At 39.2% G+C, this 22,174-nt stretch overlaps 1 long non-coding RNA gene across 2 annotated transcripts in view; it reads left to right on the forward strand.

Moving 5' to 3' along the window:
* Window positions 1–22,174, forward strand: part of LINC03109 (long intergenic non-protein coding RNA 3109) — a 66,028-nt gene that overhangs the window by 13,071 nt on the left and 30,783 nt on the right. For both annotated transcript variants that reach the window (XR_002959654.2, XR_001740975.2), the window contains exon 3: window positions 18,483–18,649. This is a non-coding gene — a long non-coding RNA (long intergenic non-protein coding RNA 3109). The remainder of the gene's footprint in view (window positions 1–18,482; window positions 18,650–22,174) is intronic.

The following is a 22,174-nucleotide window of genomic DNA, read 5'->3' on the forward strand; positions in this document are numbered from 1 at the left end:
CCCCAAATATTATACGGGTTGGTTGGATTCATTTTTGATAGCTATGGTAAGTTTGCGCTTTTTTTTTTTCTGGTTTTATGTTTTAATTTTAATTATTTTCTATTTTATCTATTTTTCAAAACCAACAAAAATCTGAAAAAATTATAATAAAATAATAAATGTAAGAAGAGTCAAAAATTAATTTAAAGGTGACAGCTGAGTAGGAAATGAAAAGAGAAGTTATATTTAATTTTTTTTTAACTATGAGTTTTGGGTTTATGTTAACTAATACAGTTAGATGTAATAAGTTTTGGATATTCCAGTAGTCAAAACAAAGAGAAAAAATATGATAGGATGTACAATACTTTTATGTTTTTAGGTAATATTACACCCATTTTTTATTATGACCTTTTAAAAATATTTTCCTTCATAAGCAATATACAAATGCATCTTATTTAAATATTTCCGGCAATACTATATATATATATATATATATATATATATATATATATATATGTATATGTACTTCCATATATATATATGTGTACTTGCTTCTGAGAGGGAGAGTAGACTCTTTATGTTATTGTGTATGTGTATGTATATATATACGCAATGTTGTATTGTGTGTAAATATATATACACACACACATACACAATAAAATTAAGAGTCTACTCTCCCTCTCATAAGCAAGTACTTTTGACATATATGTGTCTTTGCATTCTTTTCTCTATATGTTTTTGTCTGTTCATTCATATATAATGTTGAGCCCTTAGTGAGATCTGTGTGAGAAGGCTTCCACGGAGGAGTTCTGATTTTATCTGTGAGGGTTGTGGTTTCTATGTATTAAAACATATTGTAAGATGATAACTAAAATGTTAATATTTTCCTTGACTAGAAGAATGAAAATGATTTAGAATTTTTTCACAGATTCCTATATTTTCTAAATTTTTTACATTGACTATTTATTATATTTTAAACTTAAAAAACTCCTCAGTGTCAATTTAAATAAATAATACCAGTGAGTTTCTAAGGGCGCAGATGCAAAAAGAAGACTGTAAGGCAGAGGTTTACATTTTAGGCCATTTGGTAATGCTTGGATGGTCAAAATCTATTAGAAGTTTACATAAAATTGTTTAGTAGTTCTAACTAATATATTGCACACAGCTTGCTTTTTGTTTCCTCAGTTCTCTGAATAACTTATTATTTCTTAATAGTCAGCAGACAGGCCCAGCTTGAGGTTTTTTTTTCATACTTAGATTTAGCTCCTGCCCAAATAGCTTATGCAAGCATTGAAGGCCCACAAGCCAACTTAGAGGTCATGGCATTGGGAATATTGCTTATAAACCTCAGCTAATTCTCTGTAGATCATATAGTGCCATCTATACCCATTTGCTGAAGTTAAGTTCTTTACAACAAATGTTTTCTAAAAATCTACTATGTGCTAGACATTTTGATAGATACCAACAATAAAAAAAAGAAATAATATACAGATCTTGCTTTCAAGACTAGTAACAAAAATCAGTTACTCAATGACTGAAGGTTAATACTTAGTGTGGCTCTTGGGTAGATTGAAGTACAAAACCAAAAAAAAGAGAGCTGACATGAATCCTAGTAAGATAAAATTGTACTGTATGCTGACTTATTTTTTATCCATTATTTATACAATAGATTCTTCATCGTAGAATTGTTAAAATTATTTGAAAATTAACAAGATGTTCTTTATAATTTTCATTTGTGTTTAGAGTCTTAAATGTTAAATGTTTGAGTTAGGCTTCTGATGTAGAGTTTTCCTCTGTAACAGGTCTCTAGACTTTGAATCAAAATTGCTCTAATAGTTTGTTTCCTTTTTTTTAGACCAGCCCAAATTTGAAGGATAATTTACCAGTGTGGTTCCACCAAAGCCCCCTAGGCCCCACTCCACACTGCAGTATAAGTTAAGGTCTTTCTGATAGCACCATATTGTGGAATGATATTTGTAAAGCTTAATTTTGCTGCGTAGGTTCCCAAACAAGCTGTGATCTGCATGAGAGCCAAGTAGGGAGCTAGTTCATTTGAAAAGAGTTAAGATCCAGTTGAGAATTAGCTGATAAATTCAAAAAAATTGCTTAACCAAGTGAAGCACTTACAGGGCAGCGATTACTTGTAAGATTTTTATCCTTTATGTTTAATATTCATGAGCGCTGATCCACGCAAGAAGGCTTAGGAGCCTCCAAAAAATACTAATTAAATGAGAGTTGGGGTATTGTATCTGCTGTAGCTATTTTCCAACAGATTACATTGTAAAGAAGTTTACCCAGAATGAATGTTCCAACGCCTACTCTGTGTAATAGCAGGTGCAATTCTTCTTTAGAAATCCAAGCTCTGATGAATGCATTTTCCAGCCTTGCAAAGCACAGCGGCTTGAATAAATCCAATAAGGCTTACCTTGTTTTGGGAAATATTTGCTGAGTTTCACTGTGCAAAGACCCTAAGACTGATTTGAGTGATAACAAGGCTTGAACATCTGAAGAAGTCCTTAGAGTAGATGCTGACTCCTGTCCTATTCACAATTCCAAGAAATTTTTTTAATCCCTTTATTTTCATTAATTTCACAAGGTAAATGTTCTGAATCATTTCTGCCTTGAAAAGGTTTGATGAACCATTAATATTAGCATCATTAAAAATAGTGAACTCATTCATCAATTGTGTATTTTAAGTTTTAAATCTAAATAACTTTTAACTTTCCTTTGGAAAGTTAGAGTGACAATGAAAATTAGTATTTCATGGTCTCTTGATTGAATCTGAGATTCAGTCATTAAGGAAGGATCATAATTTTCTTTTTATAATACAGCAATTGACTGTTTTCCATCACCATCAAAACTATATATATATATATATATATATATATATATATATATGGTCTCTGTCTCAGGTTCCTGACACAGAACTACTAAAATCCTTGTAATTTTCTGAGCAAAAGGGGTGCTAGAAGCATTTTTTTGTTACAATATTTGGTCTTAGTCCCTGGTTCCTGACAGGAGAGCTTCTAAGATCCTTGAAATCTCCTGAGTGGTAAGAGTATTTTTTGTATGCTAATGAGATTACTGGTGGCAGGGACCCCTGGATAACTTCAGATTGGAGGCTGGTCACCAGAAAGATTACAGCATGATTAGAGAGTTATAACTTTCAGCCCTACTCCTGACCTCCAGGGAGTGAAAAGAGGATGAAAATTGAGCCAATCATCAATAGCCAATGATTTAATCAATCATGTTTCTAAAAGAGGCATGATAAACGGAACCTCAATAGAAACGCTAAACAATGAGGTTTAGAGAGCTCTGAGGTTGATGAATGCATCCTCATGCTGGGAAGGTGGTGGGCCCCAACTCCATGGGACAGAAGCTCCTATTCTCAGGACTCTTTTGGACCTCACCCTATGTGCCTCTTCATCTAGCCATTTGTTTGAATCCTTATAATATCTCTTATCATAAACTAGTATATGTAAGTAAACGATTTCCCTGAGTTCTGTGAGCCATTATGACAAATTATCAAGTATGAGGAGAGGGTCACAGGAACTCCCAATTTATAGCCAAATCAGACAGAGGTGTGAGTAATTTGATGGTACACTACTTGCAATTGGCATCTGAAGTGGAGGGGGGCAGTCTTGTATGATTGAACCCATAAACTGTGGGGTCTGCACTAATTCCAGGTAGTTAGTTTCAGTTGAATTAAATTATAGGACATGCATTTGGTGTCCAAAGAGTTGGAGAATCGGTTGCTGGTGTGGAAAAACACATTTAGTGTCAGAAGTGTAGCGAGTAGAAAAGTAGTTTTTGTTGTTGTTGTTATTAGTAGGACATGTAGAACTAGATGGAGGACTCTTAAATAAAAGCCAATGAAAACTATGGAGATTAGTAAGATCCAGAATGTTTAACCGAGGTAGTCTAGTTTCAAAAATAATTCCCTTCCCAAGAAATCAAAAGTGATTGTGAATTTATGGATAAACAACAGTACAGCATGGAGATTTCCTAGACAAGGGCGTGGAGATTTCCTAGACAAGGGCGTGGAGATTTCCTAGACAAGGATGATGACATTCTGTAGCCTATTGATCATGGATCTGGGAGTGCAGTTATTTTGGGAAAAAAGGATCTCTGGCCCACAGCAAGATTTGAGCCAGCAATTTCAGGGGGCATGTTGTAAAAAGAAAGAAGACTCTTCAGAAACAAAATTTAGGCTCAAGGATGCAATTTAATTGCCAATCTGGTTTGGCAATTTGTTAATGGGCTCACTGGGATGTTTTAAGACTATAGATGAGTAAGAAGAGATGTCAAGGGAACAGAAAGAAAATACCAGATGGAGAACAAGGAATCTAGGATGTAGTAAAGGTAATGACAGCTTAGTCTAAAAACTTGTTAAGAATCTTATCAATGTTCTTATTAACATTAACAGGCTTTGGAGGCTGTCCAAACTCTTATATTGAATGGAATTAGCCTGAAACAAGGAGAAAAGATGGGTATAAATTATAGTGACATGAAATAACGTTTTAAATATGTGTTGACAGATACCTGCAGTTATCACTTCAGCTATTTTCTGTTGGTTACTGTTGGCATAGTGAGTTCAATTCCATATATGAGGTGGTGTGGAGAGGACCTATGCTACCAGGAGTTTTATTTTATTTTTTTATTATTTTATATTTTTATTATTTATTTATTTTTGAGATGGAGTCTCGCTCTGTCGCCCAGGCTGGAGGTCCCTGCAAGCTCCACCTCCCGGGTTCACGCCATTCTCCTGCCTCAGCCTCCTGAATAGCTGGGATTACAGGTGCTCACCACCATGCCCGGCTAATTTTTTGTATTTTTAGTAGAGACGGGGTTTCACCGTGTTAGCCAGGATGGTCTCGATCTCCTGACCTTGTGATCCGCCCGCCTCGGCCTCCCAAAGTGCTGGGATTACAGGCGTGAGCCACTGCGCCCGGCCCAGGAGTTTTATTTATTATTTTGGCTTTTCTCTATTATGTGACCTAAATTATGTGACATGTTGGCAGCAATTCATCTCTGCTCTTACAGAGTATATGCCTATGGCGTTTGATAGATAATGTGGTTAAAGGTCTAGAAATCTTCATTTTCCTTATGAACTTATGCTTGTCAGCCACCCACACATATCTCTATTTTTAGTCATCCCAGAACTGGGACTGTTTCTCCATGAACAGCTGACCTTTGTTGCCTTTGTTCACAGTTTTAGCTGACTTAATGCATATTTGAGAACTCATTTCCCTAGAGTTTCAACCTGAAACCAGAGGCTCAGACAAGGAGATTCTACTTCCGAGAGACCACGAGTCTTGAAGAGAGGACCATGTCTGGTCTAAAAAAAAATGAAAAAGTTTAGCAGCAAGAGGAGTGGACACAAATAGGGGATAAATAACAGGAGAGGACCGTCCCCCTTGAGATCAGGCCTAACAAATTGAATCAAATATAACCTCCACCGTTCACACAATGTGTGCATCTAACTCCATTTTTAGTGCTTTTCCTCCTCACTCCTTTTCTGTTACCTTTCTTACAGGGCCTTTTTAGGCATTTCCATTTGTGGTCAGTATTTTATGGCTCTATGCTGAACTAAACAGATACCACAGTTTGCCCACTGGAACATAGTTCATCCCCTTTATTCCATCACTTTGTAGAATAGTCATGTAATTGGACTGAGAGTAACTCTCTCATTTCCCCTCCTTCCATTGCCCTACTTCATTTCTTCAAGCACTTGAATGATTTTAAACCTTTCTCTAACCATTTCCTGCTGTAGGTTATTATTTCACCAGGGCAAGCAACTCAAGCAAGTCAAAATATTGCTTTCATCTTATATCACTGCCCTGTTTAAAAATTACCTACAAAATTTAGTTGTTTTTCTTTTTTTAAACTTAGACTTCCATTTTCTATTAAAGCATCTTTCTAGTTTTTTCTTTTCCTACCTCTGTGGTTCTCTGATCTGGCTGGTAAAAATCTCCTGGACAACTTTTAAAAAGTAGCAAGGCCAGGACCCCACCTCTAAAGTTTTTGGTGTAAGTGGCCCAGGGTATGGCCAGGAGATTAGAAAATTTTTCCTTGCTTTTAACTCCTCAGGTATTTCTAACACACAGAGCCAGGCTTGAGAGCCACTTATCTATACCAGTGGCTTATCTATACCAGTGGAACCAAAGTATAGTTCCTAACCATCATCTGCATCACCTGGGAACTTGTTAGAAATGCAAATTATTGAACCCCACCCCAGATTTACTAACTCTGAGAAACTCTGGGGGTGAGACCCAGCAATCTGTGTTTTAACAAGCTCTCCAGGTGATTCTCGTGTACTTCAAAGTTGTGCTGCCCAATATGGTAGCCACTAGTTATGTGTGGCTATTGAAAACTTCAAATGTGGCTAGTCCGAATTGAAATGTGCTGTAATGTAAAGTACACACTGGATTTCAAAGGCCTCACACAAAACTAGAATATAAAAATCACATGAATAATATTTAATTACATATGAAGATAATATATTGGGTATTTAAATCAAATGAAATATATTACTAAAATGAATGTCACCTATTTCTTTTTACTTTTTAAATATGTCTGCTAGAATATTTGAAATTATGTATTTGGCTTGCATTACATTTCTGTTGGACAGCACTAAAGTCTGATTGCACTGATCTATGCAATCACTATTTTCTTTACTGTTGGGAACAGGCCCCTCAAATCTGGCCATAAACTGGCCCCAAAACTGGACATAAACAAAATCTCTGCAGCACTGTGACATGTTCGTGATGGCCATGACGCCCACACTGAAGGTTGTGGGTTTACCGGAATGAGGGCGAGGAACACCTGGCCCACCGAGGGTGGAAAACCGCTTAAAGGTGTTCCTAAACCACAAACAATAGCATGGGCGATCTGTGCCTTAAGGACATGCTCCTGCCGCAGATAACTAGCCAGAGCCCATCCCTTTATTTCAGCCCATCCCTTTGTTTCCTGTAAGGAATACTTTTAGTAAATCTATAATCTATAGAAACAATGCTAATCACTGATTCGCTGTCAATAAATATGTGCGTAAATTTCTGTTCGAGGCTCTCAGCTCTGAAGGCTGTGAGACCCCTGATTTCCCACTCCACACGCTGTATTTCTGTGCGTGTGTCTTTAATTCCTCTAGCGCCACTGGGTTAGGGTCCCCATGACGGAGCTGGTCTCGGCACTATACAAACTTTTTTTCCACAGTGGCTTAAGCAGAACACATTTAGCATTTCTGATTCCATACCTCTGGACCTTTCATGTATCATCTTCTTCACTAGATGGTCCTTCCTACCTCTCCACACTTGTGCCACTATGGCTGGTTCTTTTAGGCTCAACCTTTATATCTTCTTATTTCAGAAGTATTTCTTAGCCACTCCAGCCTCTGGTGACACCCTCTCCCCCCTTTTTTTTGTAGTTCCTGATTCCAGAAAGTAAGAGACATTCAGAAAGGAAACTATTGTGATTAGAGAACTCATGGAAAGGAGCATGTGTGCTCAATATTCCAGAATGCTAGAATCATTGAAGGGTAGAAGAGGAGAGGAACAGACAGAGCTAGTGAGATCAGTAGCTCCTGGACATCAGAGGCCATTTCCTCTCCCTTAGGCATCCCTCATAGTATAGTATGATGTATGTCCCACAAGGTGGGCACCCAATACATATGTGTGGCTGATGAAGATGATGGACCTTAAAGGCTAGAGCGAGGGAGGACAACTCCTAGACAAGTGGACAGATGCCACAGGATCTAGAGTCTCTTTTAGAAAAATCTCCCCATGTCTCCATCTTACTGAGATGGTCACCATGAAAGTTGCCAGATTAATTGTCTTTAGTCACTTATAGAGATCAAACTATCTACTTGGTGCTTTTGTAATGATGAGAATTGACATGGCAGCAGGGAGAGCTTTTCATTGTAGTTCATGTGATATTTTAGGAATTTTTTCCTGTTACCTATGTTTTATCTTGTATCTGGCATAATTTTGCTTAAAGGATGGGAGATAGACTAGATGACCTCAAGACACTACTTTCTGCTGGGGAGTCTACTGCCTACATCATAGAAGGCAGACTGGTAGCATTGGAAGGAGAGGCAATCCCCTTTCTAATCTATTTAAAATATAACCATACTTTCCCTTCCCAATATTCTTCCTCTACTTTTCCAGTACTCTTTCTTGTAATTTCCCACCATGATAAAACATTATTATGAAAGAGGAGTTTGTAAAGTGAAAAAATAAAAAAAACACACTATGTTTCTCCCTATATGTGAATTACTTGCTACCCGATATAGTTTGGATATTTGGCCTGCCCAAATCTCATGTTGAATTGTAATCCCCAGTGCTGGAGGCGGGACCTGGTGGGAGGTGTTTGGATCATGGGGCAGACCCTCATGGCTTGGTGCTGTCTTTGCAATGGTGAGTGAGTTCTCAGGAGATCTGGTCGTTTAAATGTGTGTGGCACATCCCCACTACTTTCTCTCTCTTGCTCTGTTCTGCCATGTAAGATACCTATTCTCGCTTCACCTTCCTCTCTGAGTAAAAGCTTCCTAAGGCCTCCCTAGAAGCAGATGCCAATACTGTGTATCCTGGACAGCCTGCAGAGCCATTGGCCAATTAAACCTCTTTTCTTATAAATTATCCAGTCTCGGCATTTTATTTTTTTGAGATGGAGTCTTGCTCTGTTGCCCAGGCTGGAGTGCAGTGGCACAATCTTGGCTCACTGCAACCTCTGCCTCCCGGGTTCAAGCAATTCTCCTGCCTCAGCCTCCCAAGTAGCTGGGACTACAGGCATGTGACACCACGCCTGGCTAATTTTTTGTATTTTTAGTAGAGACGGAGTTTCACCATGTTAGCCAGGATGGTCTCGATCTCCTGACTTCGTGATCCTCCCAGTCTCGGGCATTTTTTAAAACAATGCAAGAATGGCCAAACACACTACCCTTCATACCACTCTTGTATGTGAATTCATTCTATTCCTTCTCTAATTATGCATTTTCAGAAAGTTAATGTTTAACATTTCCCAGAAAAGACCATTTAAACCACTAGACATTCCAGACACTTTAGCAGTTGCTTCAAGCACTTCAAAAAGTTCTCATATAAAAACATGGATTTGATCTTTGAAGGCTCCTCTGGGGCACAAGCAGTACCTCCTGAATTGATCAGAACTTTCTGCCCCAGATCCTTTAATCCTCATTATAGGAAAAGAAATATCTACTTGCGAATACTTTTTGAGGCTCAAATGGTGATGTTCTAAATTCAATTAAGATATATGAATCCCAAGACAACGAAGTACCTGAGTATGGTATTATGAAGTTATAAATTACCAATTTCTCATCACCACCTTTAAAAGCAAGTTTAAAAAAATGAACCTACTTGCAAATGAACCTGTAAAATACCACCAGCCAAGCATGGGATTGGAATAAAGCATTTCATCAAAATGTCCATAGATCATTTCTTCTAGATGAGTATCTTGCAGATTGTCACACAGTGCACATTTTTATAGCCAATTTGGAGAGAAAATGTTTTATATATATATATATTTATGTGATAAGAGTCAATGGGATCAATAAAAAATACAAATCAGTAGATTTAAAATACAGAAATCAATTTTAAATGGGAAATGAAAGATAAAGGTAAGTTATTTTGTTTCCAAAAACCTGTGTAGTCTGTGGTCTATTTTACTTTTCATAATTTTTTTTACTCAGCTGTCATTTTGGTTTCCATTTCCTAGGAATCATCTAATCTAATGCTGTTGCCAAAGTTGTGCTGCTGATGCAGGTTTTCAAGGGCAAGAGTGGCATTGTCAAATTTCTTATTCCTGAAGATGATTGAATATTATTAGCCCCACCCCCCCACTCACAATTTGCTGTGTGAAAAGAAAATTAAAAGCTTGGGACCCCAATTCACTGTGCCAAAAGGAAAAAATATTAAGCTGAAAGCTGAGTCATGCAAGAAGCTGCCTTTCCTTTTGTTCCTAAGCAGATAGCTTCAGATAAAAGGTTAAAAAATCTCCATGAGTAGTTGCTCTAGGTTCACCTTATCTTCTATAGAGCACTAATTTACTGAGTGCCAGAGGAATACATGACTATTACTCTACCTGCTCCTTTTCTCTTGCAATGTAGATTTAGTAATGTATCCATATCCTCCCGTTTACCCTTTTTTCCCAGGCTGCTTTTCCCCTTTAAATATTAAAGCCCTCAAAGTCATCTTTGGAGAAAGGCACAGACCACAGACTGTTTCTATGATTCTGTGTTTGTTTCCTCCCAGGCATTGTCCTTAATGTTGGCAAAACAAACTTCTAAATTGATTGAGCCCTGTCTCAGATACTTTTTGGTTGATAGCTGTAAGCAGAATTTTACTGCTTTAGAAAGTAGAAAAGGTAAAGAGTTAGAAGAGACATCTATATATCCTCAGAACGCCCATCAGGCATTAATAAGAACTGTACATTATATATTTTGAAATGTGAACAATATCTACTCCCTATACATAGCAACAGTTGGGATTGCAAACTGTCCAGCAAGCCAAGAATTGGACTTGATTTGGGGAGCTGTCACTTCAGAGACTCGGCGTCCTAATCAGCTTTTCTTCCCCCAATTCTGAGTCACTACATGCAGACAGTCTGATTATCTGAATTCTCTAGTTTCAGCCAGTGGAGTTACAGGTTGACCTTTCTAGTAGGAGCTGCCCTCAGTTCCTCTAGTGGGCACTCACTTAGCTTCCTGTTGGCCCTGAGATCTGTTCCCCAAGCTTCCCCTACTCTGCTCTGAGTGATGGAAAAGTGTCTTCCAGAGGCTCTTGTGCTCACTGGTAGGTTTATCCAATAGGAGGCAAGATTAGGGTCAGGGGTTGGAAAGATGGCAGTCACATATTTTTTTTTCCTCCCACCCCCCCCATTTTCATGGCATTTTCAGGAGCATCTCTTCCACAGTTCCAATTTCTGCAAAAAAGCACCTCTTCTTGTGGGTCCCAGCTCCCTGGGTAAGTGCCTGCCATGTTTCAATCCCACAGGTTGGCCTGGCTTCTGGGCTCTTGTAGTACCACCTGTTCTGCTGGTCTTGCCAGGCCTCGGAATGATAGCTACTTCCTGCTATTGCCAAACTCTGAGAGGCCTCACCTTTCCCTCTTGAGCTTCTTTGTTCTCCCATCAGCTGTTTCAGGAGGTACTCTAGTTTCTGTCTAGATCTTCCTAGTGGGTTGGTGCACTTATTACCCTGCTATAAGCTTTGATTGCTAAGGCCTCAAAACTGTCCCTTTGTTAAGACTTGCCGGGCAGGAGCTCACAGAGCAGGTGCAGCCAGTGATGATAAAGGTTATAAAATGTCAACTTCGTTTTGTCAAGGAGGGGATGATTTTGTGACATGTTTTATGTTCCAGATTCCTCCCCCTGTGGATCAGGCCAGGGACTGGGGTTTGCTTAAACCACATCTTTGCTTTGCTCTTTTCTTTTTTATTTTATTTTATTTTATTATTATTATTATTATACTTTAAGTTTCAGGGTACAAGTGCACAATGTGCAGGTTAGTTACATATGTATACATGTGCCATGCTGGTGTGCTGCACCCATTAACTCATCATTTAGCATTAGGTATATCTCCTAATGCTATCCCTCCCCCCTCCCCCCATCCCACGACAGTCCCCAGAGTGTGATGTTCCCCTTCCTGTGTCCATGTGCGCTCATTGTTCAATTCCCACCTATGAGTGGGAACATGTGGTGTTTGGTTTTTTGTCCTTGTGATAGTTTACTAAGAATGATGATTTCCAATTTCATCCATGTCCCTACAAAGGACATGAACTCATCATTTTTTATGGCTGCATAGTATTCCATGGTGTATATGTGCCACATTTTCTTAATCCAGTCTATCATTGTTGGACATTTGGGTTGGTTCCAAGTCTTTGTTATTGTGAATAGTGCCACAATAAACATATGTGTGCATGTGTCTTTATAGCAGCATGATTTATAGTCCTTTGGGTATATACCCAGTAATGGGATGGCTGGGTCAAATGGTATTTCTAGTCCTAGATCCCTGAGGAATCGCCACACTGACTTCCACAATGGTTGAACTAGTTTACAGTCCCACCAACAGTGTAAAAGTGTTCCTATTTCTCCACATCCTCTCCAGCACCTGTTGTGTCCTGACTTTTTAATGATTGCCATTCTAACTGGTGTGAGATGGTATCTCATTGTGGTTTTGATTTGCATTTCTCTGATGGCCAGTGATGGTGAGCATTTTTTCACGTGTTTTTTGGCTGCATAAATGTCTTCTTTTGAGAAGTGTCTGTTCATGTCCTTCGCCCATTTTTTGATGGGGTTGTTTTTTTCTTGTAAATTTGTTTGAGTTCATTGTAGGCTAGCCACATGTAGAAAGCTGAAACTGGATCCCTTCCTTACACCTTATACAAAAATCAATTCAAGATGGATTAAAGACTTAAACGTTAGACCTAAAACCATAAAAACCCTAGAAGAAAACCTAGGCATTACCATTCAGGACATAGGCATGGGCAAGGACTTCATGTCTAAAACACCAAAAGCAATGGCAACAAAAGCCAAAATTGACAAATGGGATCTAATTAAACTAAAGAGCTTCTCCACAGCAAAAGAAACTACCATCAGAGTGAACAGGCAACCTACAAAATGGGAGAAAATTTTCGCAACCTACTCATCTGACAAAGGGCTTTGCTCTTTTCTTTATCCTGCTTTAGTCCTCCTCCACAAGCTCTTCCTAAAGAAAGTCATGTGCACACAAATCCTTGTCTCACATTGTCCTTTCTAAGGAATCTGAACTCAGGAAGCTGTGTAACCACATCCATCTTTTTGAAAGTCTTAGAGTGGTTAGTGTTTTCCTGGCTGTATCCTGAATGATGCAGAAATCTAAAGTGACTCTCAGCACCTTGATTCCCAGAGAAAAACTACAATGATAATATCTGGCAGGGTGTCCTGGTACAAATACAATTTCTTTTTATATTTTTTAATTGGAAAAATAATTGTGTTAATTTATAATCTTTTTTATTATACTTTAAGTTCTGGGGTACATGTGCACAACGTGCAGGTTTGTTACATAGGTATATATGTGTCATGTTGGTTTGCTGCACCCATCAAATCGTCATTTACATTGGGTATTTCTCCTAATGCTATCCCTCCTCCAGCCCCCCACCCCACAATAGGCCCTGGTGTGTGATGTTCCCCTCCCTGTGTCCATGTGTTCTCATTGTTCAACTCCCACTTATGAGTGAGAACATGCGGTGTTTGGTTTTCTGTACTTGTGATAGTTTGCTGAGAATGATGGTTTCCAGCTTCATCCATGTCTCTTCAAAGGACATGAACTCATCCTTTTTTATGGCTGCATATTACTACTCCATGGTGTATATGTGCCACATTTTCTTTATCCAGTCTATTATTGATGGGTATTTGGGTTGGTTCCAAGTCTTTGCTCTTGTGAATAGTGCTGCAATAAACATATGTGTGCATGTGTCTTTATAGTAGCATGATTTATAATCGTTTGTGTATATACCCAGTAATGGGATTGCTGGGTCAAATGGTATTTCTAGTTTTAGATCCTTGAGGAATCGCCACAGTGTCTTCCACAATGGTTGAACTAATTTACACTCCCACCAGCAGTGTAAAAGCGTTCCTATTTCTCCACATCCTCTCCAGCATCTGTTGTTTCCTGGCTCTTTAATGATTGCCATTCTAACTGGCGTGAGATGGTATCTCATTGTGGTTTTGATTTGCATTTCTCTAATGACCAGTGATGATGAGCATTTTTTCATATGTCTGTTGGCTGCATAGATGTATTTTTTTGGGAAGTGTCTGTTCATATCTTTTGCCCACTTTTTGATGGAGTTGTTTGATTTTTTCTTGTAAATTTGTTTAAGTTCTTTGTAGATTCTTGATATTAGCCCTTTTTCAGATGAATAGATTGCAAAAACTTTCTCCCATTCTTTAGGTTGCCTGTTCACTCTGCTGATAGTTTCTTTTGCTGTGCAGAAGCTCTTTAGTTTAATTAGATCCCATTTGTCTATTTCAGCTTTTGTTGTCATTGCTTTTGGTGTTTTAGTCATGAAGTCTTTGCCCATGCTTATGTCCTGAATGGTATTGCCTAGGTTTTCTTCTAGGGTTTTTATGGTTTTAGGTCTTACATTTAAGTCTTTAATCCACCCTGAGTTAATTTTTGTATAAGGTATAAGGAAGGGATCCAGTTTCAGCTTTCTACATATGGCTAACCAGTTTTCCCAGCACCATTTATTAAATAGGAAATTCTTTCACCATTTCTTGTTTTTGTCAGGTTTGTCAAAGATCAGATGGTTGTATACATGTGGTGTCACTTCTGAGGCCTCTGTTCTGTTCCATTGGTCTATATATCTGTTTTGGTACAAGTACCATGCTGTTTTGGTTACTGTAGCCTTGCAGTTTAGTTTGAAATCCACTCTGAAGTTATTTTAAGTTCTGGGATACATGTGCAGAACGTGCATGTTTGTTACATAGGTATACATATGCCATGGTGGTTTGCTGCACCCATCAACCCATCCCATGCAGTAGGTATTTATCCTAATACAGGAACAGAAAACCAAACACTGCATGTTCTCACTCATAAGTGGGAGCTGAACAATGAGAACACATGGACACAGGGAGGGGAATATCACACATAAGGGCCTCTCAGGCGGTGGGGGCAAGGGATAGGGAGAGCATTAGTACAAATACAATTTCTGTCCATTATTCATTTGATCGTCTTCATCCTCCTCTAAGGTGCAGCTTCTCATCGGTTTCTCCAACTTTGGTGGTTTTCTCTTAGTTTCTTGAGCACAGTATATTTCTTTCTATCTCATATTAGCTCCCAAATGCTCTTCTTGCTGGAGTGAAGATTAGAGATATTAAGTGACTTGTGTACAAGGCAACTAATCCAAGATATAGAACTGGGCCAATAAAGACTTTCTGAGCCCCAAAACAGTTAAGCTTTCTGTTACCCCACATCCTTCCAATTAGATGCAGCCAGACACAAAATTCTTTTTAAGGAGGAAATTAACACAATAAAGTATACAGACCCTTAAGATTGTGTTGCTAATCCCTGTGCTTGTGTTGAGATGTAAATTATCTCTGCTTGAAGCCCATTTAGAGACCTTAGATCCTTCTGACAGGAACAGCTGGGATCATGATAAAACTGGGCCTCCCAGAAATAATTCTCGTTGTCATCTTTACATTCTCCCCCAGGCAAGAGAAGATATCCACCAATTCAATTCTGGGGGGAGTCCTAACAAGTGAGCTGCTGTGTGTAGTGAGCATTCTTGCCCTGATGACACAGTTGGCCCACTGTCTTCCTCTCCACCATGTTCCTCCTTACTTTCAACTGCAAATGGATGACTCAATGCTCTTTCCCTTCAGAGTTCTTCAATTTCTGTAACTCCTTTGACTTTCATATGTGCTTAACTTTGTGATGATTTGAAAGTCTCCTCCTTTGAAATATCAAACTCCAATAATTTACCTCAAACCACAACTTATCATTCCAGCTTTTACTCCATCACCGTACCATACTTGTTAGCCTCATAAAAAGTTATATTCCAGTGATTGCTTCATTCTCTTCCAATTCCTCAGCTATTTGTCATCTTCACTTTCTTCCTTACCTTGCTTAGACTCCATGATCTATGGTGTTTAAATATAGAGAACACCATAATCTATGGAGTTGAACAAGTGTCTTGACAATAATTTCAATTCTCATACCCTTTCTGCCTCTTTACCCTCAGGGTGTTATTCTAACCTAAACCTATATATCTAGTTCCTCTTTTCAGCTTCTATATACAGCTGAATGCGTATTGCTTGAGGACATCAGTACTCACTCTCTTACTCTCCTCTCTTACTCTTATTTCACTTGGACAAGTGCAACTCTTACATATGAACTTACCTAAAACATATACATCCTCATTCATCATTTCCAAACCAATCCAGATAAAATGTCTCCTCCCATGAATTCATGTATCATGAACATTTTTTAATTCTATTTTATGAATATTAGAATGTGGGACATGATAGACAATAATTGTTCCATTTAATGACTCACCATCTTTTGTATATTATTCTGTAGCTGGTATATTTATTTATATCTATATTAAATTGTGAATTTCTTGAAAACAAGAATTGTTTCTTAGTCATCTTTAATTCACTGTACCTGGCAATGTCTGAAATATAGTAGGTGTTTGTAAAAAAGGTGAGAGGAAAATGAATACCTTGGTGACATGGATCATTTTTATGCATTTAAATAATTTTTAATAAATGATTTTTTAGCTGTGATGATAATTGAATGTCTAAGTGAGAAAACCAGCAATGTGACAAGTCCAAGCGTACATTATTTCAAATAAATGAATTCTGAATTATTTTACTACAGAAATAATTTATGTAATTATTTTCAGCTCAAATTTAATTCATCAGAAAGCTAATTAGATGATTTCTAGCCTAGAGAATGGATAGTCTAAGAGCCCCACATTTTCTTTTGCCCAGGTTCCCTTTAACCTGATAGAATTAAAGATAACTGATTATGCACAGACACAAGTTCTCATTTTGAAATTGGCTGTCTTTTTCTCTTTGGCAATTTAGTTTGGTGCTTATATAGTTTCCTTTACAGTACCCTGCTCTCTCTCTCTCTTTTTCTTTCTCTGTCTCTCTCTCTCTCTCTCTCTCTCTCTCTGTGTGTGTGTGTGTGTATTTTCTAGTTATCATAACAGAGACCATCACAGAATCACAACTCCTACCTTCCTAATCCATTATGTTAGTCTACTTATTGCTGGCCATTTCCCACTCATGGTAATGCACACACATGCACATACACATTAAAGTATGGTATAGATAATAAAATAAAGATTCTAAAGCATTTATAACTGTCTTCAATGCAAACTTTCCCAGTGCTTTCTACATTTAAATAAACCGTATTGAAACCTCCAAATACTACATTTGCTTACCTGAGGTTTCCAGGCCACTTAATACATGTTCTTTGGGATTCTGACTTTGATTGCAGCAAAAGAATCTCTCTGTAAACTCCTACTTTACCACAAGCCTCTAAAGAATGCCAGATGAAAGCATACCTCTCCTTTCGTCTTGTCATAAAAATCCACATTTCTGGTTACTCACAAACTAAGAAACCATGATCTTAGTACAAAGGCTCTTGCAAATTCCCTGACACAGTCAAACTGTGGTTCTTCAGATGTATAGGTTATATATGTCTGAGTTTTTTGTGGTTTGTTATTCTAGTTTGAATTTTCCCTTTTGCCCTGAATAGCTCTGGATCATCTCCTCTTTTGTTGTTTGGGTGTGGTAAGGGTTTACTAATGTTAAAAATATTAATCATAAAATAAGATATACCTAAATAAAACATATTTAGGGAATTAACTATGTTGCCCCCAAATCATATAAGATAGCCAAGACCAAAAGTAATTGTTTGGTGCATGGCCGAGATCCCCCTTCAGGATGCAGGCTGTAAGCATTCATTTTCTTAATTTCAAGGATTGGGACCTGCTGAGTCTTTCCTTTGGAGATGGCCTTGGGCCTAAGAGCTGTTTTGCCCAATATTATAAACTCTTTCTCACAGCAGCCCATATGCAATGACTCCAAAGTGGGATGTTACAAAATGCACCTCTCATCTTTTTTTGAAATGGGAGAGTTCCTTGGCTGCCCTCGAAGGAAGTGTGACAGGGGCATGGCTCTTTATTTGGCCACCATGAGCTCAAACCCCTTACAGGAGGGGGAGCATGCAGACAGGCAGGTGCAGAAACCAGGGCAAGCACTTCTGGGCTCTGGCCGCACAGCAGCATCTAGGGGTGGGTGCTTGTGACTCCTGAAGCCCCAGTGTAACAGTGTTCTTTTAGCTCTGCTGTCCACAGACAGCTTAAGTTTTAACCAGGTCAGCGCCCCATTGGTACCTGGGCCCTTGTCTAGCATCCAGGAAGAATCAGGTTACACACGGACTTGAAGAGTGGTAAATGCAAGGGTTTTATTGAGTGTTGGAGGTGGCTTTCAGTGGGATAAATGGGGAGTTGGAAGGGGGATGGAGTGGGAAGATGATCTTCCCTGGAGTTCGGCTCTTCTGTGGCCAAACTGCTCTCTTACCATCCCCAGCTGGACTCCTCTTGATGTTCAGATGCCCCTTTTCTTCTCTCCTTCTCTGCTGTGCAGTTCTTCTGCTCCTCGGCTCTTCTGCTCATCGCCTCATGGAGCAGGAGGTTTGGGGTTTATATGGGTACGGGATACGGGGTATTGTAGGCCAAAAGGCAACATTTTGGGCACAAAACCAGGAATGCTTGTTCCCATTTAGGGCCGCAGGTTTCCAGGCTTTAGAGTGGGGTCTTTGCTAGGGAACTGACCTCTTCTACTCAGTATTTCCCTGTCTCCTGTCTGTATCACTTTCTCCAATTTGGAGAAGTTATTCCAGCATTAGAGCTCCCCAGGTAATCAGTTTAGACTTCTATTGCAACTGTTTTTAGTTTAATTTATCCCTGTCTGCAACGTTATTTTCTTTACTCTCTTAGGCATTGTTCCTGAGAGTAGCTTCAATAAGCCACGTGGATGCAATTATCCAGCTCAGGGGTTGTTTCTTATGGAATCCAACCTATGACTGTTGACGCCAGGAGTGGTCCTGGGAAGGAGACTCTGAAAATTTTGGAGCTGGCTGGGAATAAGAGTCCTGTTGCTGTTGGTAGGTAGAATATGGTTAGCCACTGTCCTGCAATTATTAAAACTCTCATAGGTGATAAATTGATGTGGGAATAGGCAGGTGAAATATCTCAGTCCTTGGAAAGGTAGAAGGAGCATAGCAATTACAAGAAAAGGTGAATCAAATGGCTCATTCCATCAATGCATTGGAGGATAATAAACAGCTAAGGGAGACTAATGATCAATTTAAGGCAAAATATGAAAGTTAGTTTTGGTGGCAAAAAGTCTTTTTCTACTATTGGAAAGGGGAGAAAAATTTGAAGAGTTAATTATAAGAGTAGTGGATCTCTTGAAATAGTTGAATTCTCTATCCTGGCCAGTCAAATCTGTTATGTTAAGGTCAGCACCTGGTTAGGAAGGAGTGAGACTTTGAGACTTGTCATGGTGACCTCTGAGCTGAGGCACTAAAAACACCTTGAAACCCCAGGTTTTTCTGAATTCACTGCTACTGCATTAGTGACCCAATTTTCTCCACTAAAAATTAGCATTCCCTCTTTGTTGAAAAAAATTCAGAAGCCTTTGTTTTACAAAGCAACATGTACCTTCCTTCCCTCAAATCTACTTCCACTTTTTCTCCTGGTCACAGGACAAGAAAAAAAAACGAGTCAGGAGAACACAATCTGGTCTGGGAATCTCAGGACCTGCTAATGGAGGAAAGGGACTATTGTAAAACCTAGAAAATATGTACTATCAGGAGTTGGGAGAGGATGGGTACTGGCTCTTGAGGATGGTGGATCAAGTGGGGAGAGAATAAAAGGTTGGATAAGGGAGAATTTGCTGATATAGGACCACACTCCAGTGATACAGAATATAACACACTGGCAAGGACCCTGAAGATCAATACCAATATGCTAGTCACTGACTTTCAGAAGCTTGGAAAAACTGATGTTAGAAATTCTAGAACTGTCATGCAAATAGTGGAAAGAGATCAAAGGCTTAGAGAAGTGGCTTGCTAGAGTGGATATAGTGCATAAGGATCAAAATACCTACCAGCTGACTATGTTCTGTGGGAGCACCCAGAGAACACCATTTAGCAATACAATAAGAAATATGCAGGTGAGAGGGGTCCCAGCATCATTGCAAAACTCAGTAGTGTCTTTCAAGAGAAGACCAGTGCTAACTTCCTCATAGCAATGGGGATGATTAGATCCCAACATTAAAAACAAACAAACAAGCAAGCAAACAAAAAACAGGTGGTGGCATTTAATGGTCAGAAATTGTGAGTGTAATTATTTTAATGGACTGTCAGCCAGGGTCTGGTCAGTGACGAGCTTTGAAGATGGTTAACAGAACATGTATCCTTAGGGCAGCCAACAAGCATCACTCAATGTGTGCAATCAAAAGAAATCAAGGTGGGCCAGGGGCAGTGGCTAATGCCTGTAATCCCAGCACTTTGGGAGTCTGAGACAGGTGGATCATTTGAGGTCAGGAGTTTGAGATCAGCCTGGCCTATATGATGAAACCCTGTCTATACTAAAAATACAGGGTTGGGCGCAGTGGCTCTTGCCTGTAATCCCAGCACTTTGGGAGGCCGAGGCAGGTGGATCCCGAGGTCAAGAGATGGAGACCATCCTGGCCAACATGGTGAAACCTCATCTCTACTAAAAATACAAAAATTAACTGGGTGTGGTGGTACATGCCTGTATTCCCAGTTACTCAGGAGGCTGAGGCAGGAGAAACTCTTGAACCAGGGGAGTGGAAGTTGCAGTGAGCCAAGATCATGTCACTGCACTCCAGCCTGGTGACAGACCAAGACTCCGTCTCCAGAAAAACAAACACAAAAATAAAAACAAAAACAAAAAAACGAGAAAAACAAAAATTAGTTGGGCGTGGTGGCAGCCACCTGTTATCCCAGCTACTCAGGAGGCTGAGGCAGGAGAATGGCTTGAACCTGGGAGGCGGAGGTTGTCGTGAGCCGAGATTATGCCACTGCACTCTAGCCTGCATGACAGAGTGAGACTTTGTCTCAAAATTTAAAAATGATAATAATAAAAAAGAAATCAAGGTGGAAAGATCAGGAGCTTGAGGAAGCTGTCACAATAAAAGGTCATATTTCTTTGTTCTATTTTCAAACTGAAGCCAATTTTCTGACCCAGAAGTCATTGACTGTGAGAGAGACTGGGTTCCCATAAAGAAAGGCCCTGAAATACCACCACAAGCAAATATGGTAATAATTCCCTCAGTTCTTTCTCAAAGGGACCTATGACAATTTATTTGGGTAAACTTATATACCAGGGAAAAACAAAACCCATTTGAATGATGCGAATATGGGAGTTGAGTTAACATTCATACGCAGGGACCTAAAGTGTCATCATGGCCTCTGTGTTAGAGTAGGGGCATAGAGGAGCCAAGTAATAAATGGAGTCCTATCACAGGTCTGGTTCACACAGTGGAACCACATACCTACCCATTGGTAAATTCATCAGTTCCCAAGTGTACAAGTGGAGTGGACACACAATGTAATTGTAAGAATCCTAATATTGAGGCCTTGGACTCAATATTGGGTAAGAAGTATTTAAGCTGGAAGACTAAGTAGAAGCCACTGAAACTGCCCACATTCGACAATATCATGTCAAAAACAATGTTGTGGTTCAAGAAGAAAGGCAGAGATTAGTGCTATCTTAAAGACATAATGTTATCTGTGGTAGAGAGAGATACCACATGAAATTTCTGGCAAGCCCTACTAGGAAAATCACCATGACTTTCCCAGGGTTCTAGAACAAGGTCATGCCTCTTGCAGCAGAGTATTATACATCTTTTCAAAACATTTCCTGATGTGCTACTTTGTTCTGATAGAAACAGAGCATCTGACTTTGGGATATCAAATGACTGTGTGGCCAGAACCGTCCATCATCAGCTGAGTTTTAATCAGCTCATAAATTCAGAAGAGTAGACGATCCAAGAAGCATTTCATCCTGCAGTGAGAATGTACATCCAGGACTGGACCTGAGGAGGGCTGTACAGCACAATAAGCTGCAAGTGCAGGTGGCCAGACCCTTTTGTTATTAATCACAGTTGCACTTGTACTTCTCCCTTAGCTCCCATCTGTAGCTTTTTGACCAGCTTGTGGAGAAGAAAAAAGGCTAAGCTTAGTTCATGGGTGGGTATTCTCCATGTTTAAGTACAAACTGAAAATGAGCTGCTGCTTTATTACAATCCCACTCAGCAGGGCCATGAAAGAAAGCAATGAGTAAAGATTTTCTCATGGGCAGAGTTTCAGGCATTGTACCAGGACATATACTTTGCATGGAAATAAAAATTGCCCAAGATAAGAATATACAGAAATTTCTGAGCAGTGGCAATTAGCTTGACTGCTTGGTCAGAGATTGGAAAGGAAAAAATGGAAACCTTGGGGGCAAGGAAGTCTGGGGAAGAGGCATGTGATGGACCTATTGGAGTAAGTACAAATTTGAAAAGTTTCTATGTAATTATTAATGCCTACCAGGAAGCATTTATCATGAAAACAGCACTGAACTCAAGTGGACAGAATGACTGTGTCTGCTGCTGG

This window comes from Homo sapiens, chromosome 3 (assembly GCF_000001405.40).
Source record: "Homo sapiens chromosome 3, GRCh38.p14 Primary Assembly".
NCBI classification, from domain to species: Eukaryota; Metazoa; Chordata; class Mammalia; order Primates; family Hominidae; genus Homo; species Homo sapiens.